The sequence below is a fragment of the Homo sapiens genome, chromosome 16, assembly GCF_000001405.40.
Source record: "Homo sapiens chromosome 16, GRCh38.p14 Primary Assembly".
In the NCBI taxonomy this organism is placed as follows: Eukaryota; Metazoa; Chordata; class Mammalia; order Primates; family Hominidae; genus Homo; species Homo sapiens.
Window position 1 is genome coordinate 46,418,831 of NC_000016.10, and position 6,900 is coordinate 46,425,730.

Sequence of the window (6,900 nt, forward strand, 5' to 3'; positions counted from 1 at the left end):
GGAATCGTCGATTGGACTCTAATGGAATAATCGGATGGACTCCAATGGAATAATCGGATGGACTCCAATGGAATCATCAAATGGAATCAAGTGGAATCATCGAATGGACTCGAATGGAAACATCCTCAAATGAAATTGGATAGAATCAATGAAGGGTCTCGAATGGAATCATCGAAAGGACTCGAATGTAATCATCATTGAATGGAATCGAATGAAATCATCGAATGGACTCGAATGGAATCATCATCAAATGTAGTTGAATGGGATCATCATGAAATGGAATCGAATGGGATCATCATCAAAAATCCAATGGATTCACAGAATGGACTCGAATGTAATGATCAAATGGACTCGAATGGAATAATCAAATGGAATCTAATGGAATCATTGAATGGATTCGTATGGAATTATCGAATGGACTTGAATGGAGTCATCGAATGGACTCTAATGGAATCATAGTAAAATGGAATATTATGGAATCATCAAATGGACTCGAATGTAATCATTGAATGTACTTAAATGAAGTCATCGAATGGACTCGAATGAAATTATCATCCAATGAAATCGAATGGAATCCTCGAATAGAATCAGATGGAATTATCAAATGGAATCAAAAGGAATCATCATCAAATGGAATCGAATGGAATCAAAGGCAACCATCATGGAATGGAATCAAATGGAATCATGGAATGGAATCGAATGGAATCATCGTCAAGTGGAATCGAGTGGAATCATCGAATGGAATCATTGTCAAATGGAATGGAATGGAATCAGTGAGTGGAAATGAATGGAATCACCAATGAATGGAATCGAATGGAATCATCATTGAATGGAATCAAATGGAATCATTGAATGGACTTAAATAGTATCATCATCAAATGGAATCGGGTGGAATCATCTAATGGGCACGAATAGAATCATCATCGAAGGGAATTGAATGGAATCATCTAACTTACTCAAATGGAATCATCATTGAATGGAATAGAATGGAATCATCGAATGGAATTGAACGGAATCATCATCGTATGGAATCGAGTGGAATCATCGAATGGACTCGAAAGTAATCATCGGAGAATGGAATCAAATAGAATCATCAAATGGACTCGAATGGAATCATCATCCAATGGAAAGAATGGATTCATAATCCAATGTAATTGAATAGAATCATCATCGGATGGAATCATGCAAGGTTATAGAATTGAATCTTCATCGAATGCAATCAAATATAATCATTGAATGAAATTGAATGGAATCATCATCGAATGGAATCATCAACGAAAGGAATCAAATGGAATCATAGAATGGAATCCAATGTAATCATCATCGTATTGAACTCAATGGAATCATTAAATGTACCCAAATGGAATCATTGAATGGACTCGAATGGAATCATCATCAAATGGAATCGAATGGAATCATTCAGTGGACTCGAATGGAATCATCATCGAATGGAATCGAATGGAATCATCAAATGGACTCGAATGGAATCATCATCGAATGGACTCAAATGGAATGATTGAATGGATTCGAATGGAATCATGGATTGTACTCAAATGGAATTAACGAATGGGCTCAAATGGAATCATCGAATGGACTCGAATGGAATCATTATGAAATGGAATCAAATGGAATCATCAAATGAATCGAATGGAATCATCGAACGTAATCGATCGCCATCATCATGAAATGGAATCAAATGTAATCATCAAATGGAATCGAATGCAGTCATCATTGAATGAAATCGAATGGAATCAACATCGAATAGAATTGAATGGAATCATCGAATGGAATCAAATGGAATCATCCTCAAATGTAATCGAATAGAATCATCGAATGGAATCAAATGGAATAATCAAATGGAAGTGAATGGAATCAGCATTGAATGATATCAAATGGAATCATCATCGAATAGAATCGAATGGAATCATCATCAAAAGGAGTCAAATGGAATCATCAAATGGACTTGAATGTAATCATCATAGAATGGAATTGAATGGAATCAAGTGAAATCGAATGGATTCACCATTGAATGGAATCAATTGGTATCATGGAATGCACTCAAATGGAATCATCAACGAATGGTATCGAATGCTGTCATCAAATGGAATCGAATGGAATCATCTTCAGTTGGAATCAAAAGGAATCACCGAATGGACTCGAATGGAATAATCATCGAAATGAATCAAAAGGAATCATTGAATGGAATCGAATGGAATCATCATCAAATAGAATTGAATGGAATCATCGAATGGACTCGAATGGAATCATCCTCGTATGGAATCGAATGGAATCATCGAATGGAATCGAATGGAATCATCATCGAATGGAATAGAAAAGAATCAACATCAAATGGAGTCAAAAGGAATCATCGAATGGAATGGAATGGGATCATCATCGAATGAATTGAATGGAATCATTGAATGGTCTCGAATGGAATCAATATCAAGTGGAATCGAATGGAATCACCGAATAGAATCGAATGGAATAGTCATCGAATGGAATAGTCATCGAATGGAATCGAATTTAATCATTGAATGGAATCCAATGGAATCATCATCAAATGGAATCGAATAGAATTGGCATCAAATAGAATTGAATGGAATCATCATCAATGGAATCGAATGGAATTTTCTTCAAATGGAATCGAATGGAAACATCATCAAATAGAATCGAATGTGATCATCGAATGAAACTCAATGGAATCAATTAATGGTCTCGAATGGAATCATTGAGTGGACTCAAATGGATTCATCGAATGGAATCTAATGTAATCATCATCGAATGAAATCAAATGGAATCATCAAATGGAAACGAATGCAATCATCATCGAATGGAATCGAATGAAATCATGGAATGCACTTGAATGGAATCATCGAATGGACTCAAATGGAATCAACATTGAGTGGAATTGAAAGAAAACATCAAATGGAGTTGAATGGAATAATCAAATGGAATCATCATCGATTGGAATAGAATGGAATCAGCGAACGGACCCGAAAGGAATCATCATCTAATGTAATCAAATGGAATCATCGAATGGAATCCAATGGAATCATCATTGAAAGGAATCGAATGGAATCATCATCGAATGGAATCGAATGGAATCATCATCGAATGGAATCGAATGGAATCATCATCGAATGGAATCGAATGGAATCATCATCAAATGGAATCGAATGGAATCATCAATGAATGGAATCGAATGGAGTCATCGAATTGAGTCCGTTAGAATCATCATCAAATGGAACCAAATGCAGTCATCATCTAATGGAATCAAATGGAATCATCGAATGGACTCGATGGAATCATCATCACATGGAATCAAATGGAATCATCGAAAGGACTCAAATGGAATCATCATTGAATGGAATCGAATGGAATCATCGATTGGACACGAATGGAAGCACCATCGAATGGAATAGAATGGAATCTTCGAATGAAGTCGAATGAAATTATTGAATGGAATCAAATAGTATCATCATTGAATAGAATCGAATTGGATCATCATCAAATGGAATCTAATGAAATCATCATCGAATGGAATCTAGTGGAGTCATCATCTAATGGAATTGAATTGAATCAGCAAGGAATGGAATCGAATGGTGAAATCGAATGGAATCCATTAGAATCATCATCGAATGGAACCGAATGCGGTCATCATAGAATGGAATTGAATGGAATCAATGAAGGGACTCGAATTGTGTCATCATTGAATGGAATCGGATGGAATCATTGAATGGACTCGAATTGAATCATTTAATCAACTCGAATGGAATCATCATCGAATGGAATCGGGTGGAATCCTCGAATGGAATCAAATGGAATCATCAAATGCAATCGAACAGATTTATAAGAAACTTACTTGAACCAAAAAATAGAAAAACAAACAAACCAAACCCCCTAAATCTGTGATGAGCAAAGTAGACATCACAACAGGAAATATCACTGGGGATGAAGAATAACATTTCAAAATGACACCAAGAAGTCATGTAAATAAGAAGTATGTATGCACACAATAGCATTACTTCAAAATACATAATATAAAACGTATTAAAACTGAAATGTAAAATAGTAAAGCCACAGTCATCCATGGGGATTTCAACAGTCTCCTGCCAGAAATTTTTAAATTTTGTTAAACGAAAAGTTGGTAATGGTAGAGAGGATCTTATAAATATAATTAGCCAACTTGATCTAATTGAATATTTTAGAATAATCTAAGGATAAGGAATGAGGTAGCAGAGAAAGAAAAGGCAGACATCAACGTGACATTAGTGTTTCAAGGCTATGAGAATACACCAATAATGGTGTGTGTGTGTGTGCAGACGGTAAGCTCAATCTTAAAAATATTGAGCTTTAACTGACAATTCATTATTAGGAAAGATAAGAGGAAATGATATTTAGTGAGAGGCTATATGACTGAACTCTAAGAGAAAGGTCACAGCAGAAATTGTGTACTTGACAGCTCTATAAGGAGGTCAGTCAAAAATAAGTCAGTGATGAATTCTCTGGAGTAAAAGCAGAGGAATGAGGATTAGATTGAAAACACATGGAAGCAGAGTGACTTATGATAAAAATATGAGCTTGAAAATCCTGCAGAGAGGGCTTTAAATCCTGGGTATGATATTCTGCTTGTGTAGACAATAGTGATAAAAACACAACAACAAAGAGAGGTAAAGAGCACTTTCCTTTGATATAAGTAAAGGGCACGTCTTATTGCACATATATATATATATATATATATATGTATGTATGTATACATAGGTATTCAACTGAGATTCAACATGTTTCTCTCATTGAAACAGCAAGCTCTCCAGGCCTTCATGTTCCCAGTGAGGTAGGTAAACTTCTGATGATTATACTCACCCTCCCTCATTGCAAAGCTCCCATTGTTATTGTCTTGGCTCTGGATTCCCTCAAAAATAGACTATGAAACAAATATCTGGGGTCAGATACTTTAATCAGAAATTGAGTGAGAAAGCACACAAGTGGAGAAAATGAAACAGAACATGAAGCCAGTGTGAATGAGTAGTTACTGCTGTGCTCAGTAATGATGGAGGTATGGAGATTGTCTCAAAATAACTTTACAAAGAGATGGGGATGCTGGAATCCCCATCTCTTATTGCTTAAGGATTGCCTTAGAATCATTAACTCTCCACCCCAACTCCTTCTTTTTTCCTATGTGTGGTTGAGAAGCACTGGTTAGCCTCAAGAAGCTTGCAGGCAGGCCCAAAAATCAGAAAGACAGGCATGATGTGGGGAGCTCTCAGTTAGCTGGAAACAGGTGAATTTCAGGTGAACACATTGAGTCCAGGACATAGAAGACAAGTCATCAGCAATATCTGCTATAGCCAGTTTTCTTTTTCTTTTTAAGAACATATATACTTTCTATTGGGGGTCCCCAAGTCCCCCTTTGTTTAATGATTCACATAACCCAAGAAAGCTGATTTTTTCTATGGTTATAGTTTCTAACAGTGAAAGAAACCAGATTAAAATAATCAGAAGCATAAAAGCACATAAAGTTGAGTCCAGGACAAACCAGATGTGAGCTTACAGGTGTCCTTTCATAGTGGGGACTTCACACTGACTAATTTTCTTTACAATGGTGTGAGACAACATGTGTGAACTTGTTGCCAACTAGGGAAGCTCAGTCAGTCTTGAGTCCAGGGTTTTTATTAGGATTCCACCACATATGCATCGAGCGTCCTGTGACTGAACTTAGCTACTTAGTTCCCAACCTCCCTATGCCCTAAGAGAGGTCATATTAATATGGCATTACACAAAGTCATAGGCATACAGAAACAGGTGCTCACAAGAAATCACGTTGTTAACATCAGCTATTTGATATGACCTATGTTTTCAGATATACAAAGACTCTCTTCAGGCAGCATATACCAAGGGCTCATAGGTTATCATCTCCCAGGAGCTTGTCAAGGGCCAGTCCTGAAGACCTTTGGAATGTGCAAGGTTTTCGAAAGCCATGTCTGCAGAATTAACCCTTCATTACACAACCTCCAAGAATTTTTTTTAACTTTAAAAATGTTTTTTTGATCTTTGACAATGTACCAACCAATACTGAGTAATTAGTAACAACAGTGTACTCCTGAGTACTTTCACCTGCAAGGAGAAAAGGGACAGATGCTCTTACATAGGACAGATGCAAACAGACACCACTATGACAAGTAAAGCTGGAATAATCAATAAATTCCTAAAGACAAAGTGGGGCTGGTCAGATTGGAAGACCGCTGACAGCTGCAGAAGTTGGGAAATATCCATCATCTTGAAAACTTTTCCCCCACAAACCCACTGCGATCTTTCAAGCAATTGGTAAAGAATCCAAGAGAGCCTGTATATGATACAGATCAGGGGGAGCAGAACACTTGGGAGGTGACCAGGTATTGGGGGCCGGGCCCTTATGAATGGGATTAGTGCCTTTATAAAAGAAGCTCAGTGGAGTTCTTGTGTGCCTTCCACTATGTGAGGACATAGAAAGAAGGCACCATCTATGAACCTGAAATGGGCTCTCATCAACACTGAATTTGTGAGCATCTTGACCTGAGATCTTACAGCCTCAAGAAGTGTGAAAAAAGAAATATCTATTGTTTTTTAGTCACCCAGTTTATGTTATTTTGTTATAAGAGTCCACATAGACCAAGATATTCCACTTAATATGTAGGGGAAGGCAACAAAAACTGCCACACTTAGAATACTCCTGATGCTGGGAGTATGAAAACAGGAAAAACAAAACAAAACTGCTCTTGAAGGTGAAGGAGGAATATCACTGAGCACACCAACACAGCCAGGAAAAGAACAGAAGTGTGAGAAGGCTACATTCCTGAGACCATGAGAAAAAGTACCTGCATAAGACTGAGATGAAATTCCCAACCCTAGTTATAATTGAAA

The 6,900-nt window shown here is 36.9% G+C and overlaps 2 annotated features.

The window, feature by feature from the left end:
* Positions 569 to 1,556: an enhancer, noted in NCBI's record as "OCT4-NANOG-H3K4me1 hESC enhancer chr16:46453311-46454298 (GRCh37/hg19 assembly coordinates)". NCBI's record gives its function as "activates a minimal SCP1, AML or CMV promoter by ChIP-STARR-seq in primed H9 embryonic stem cells {active_cell/tissue: H9 hESC(primed)}" and the evidence as "EXISTENCE:reporter gene assay evidence [ECO:0000049][PMID:30033119]".
* Positions 2,683 to 3,272: an enhancer, noted in NCBI's record as "OCT4-NANOG hESC enhancer chr16:46455425-46456014 (GRCh37/hg19 assembly coordinates)". NCBI's record gives its function as "activates a minimal SCP1, AML or CMV promoter by ChIP-STARR-seq in naive H9 embryonic stem cells {active_cell/tissue: H9 hESC(naive)}" and the evidence as "EXISTENCE:reporter gene assay evidence [ECO:0000049][PMID:30033119]".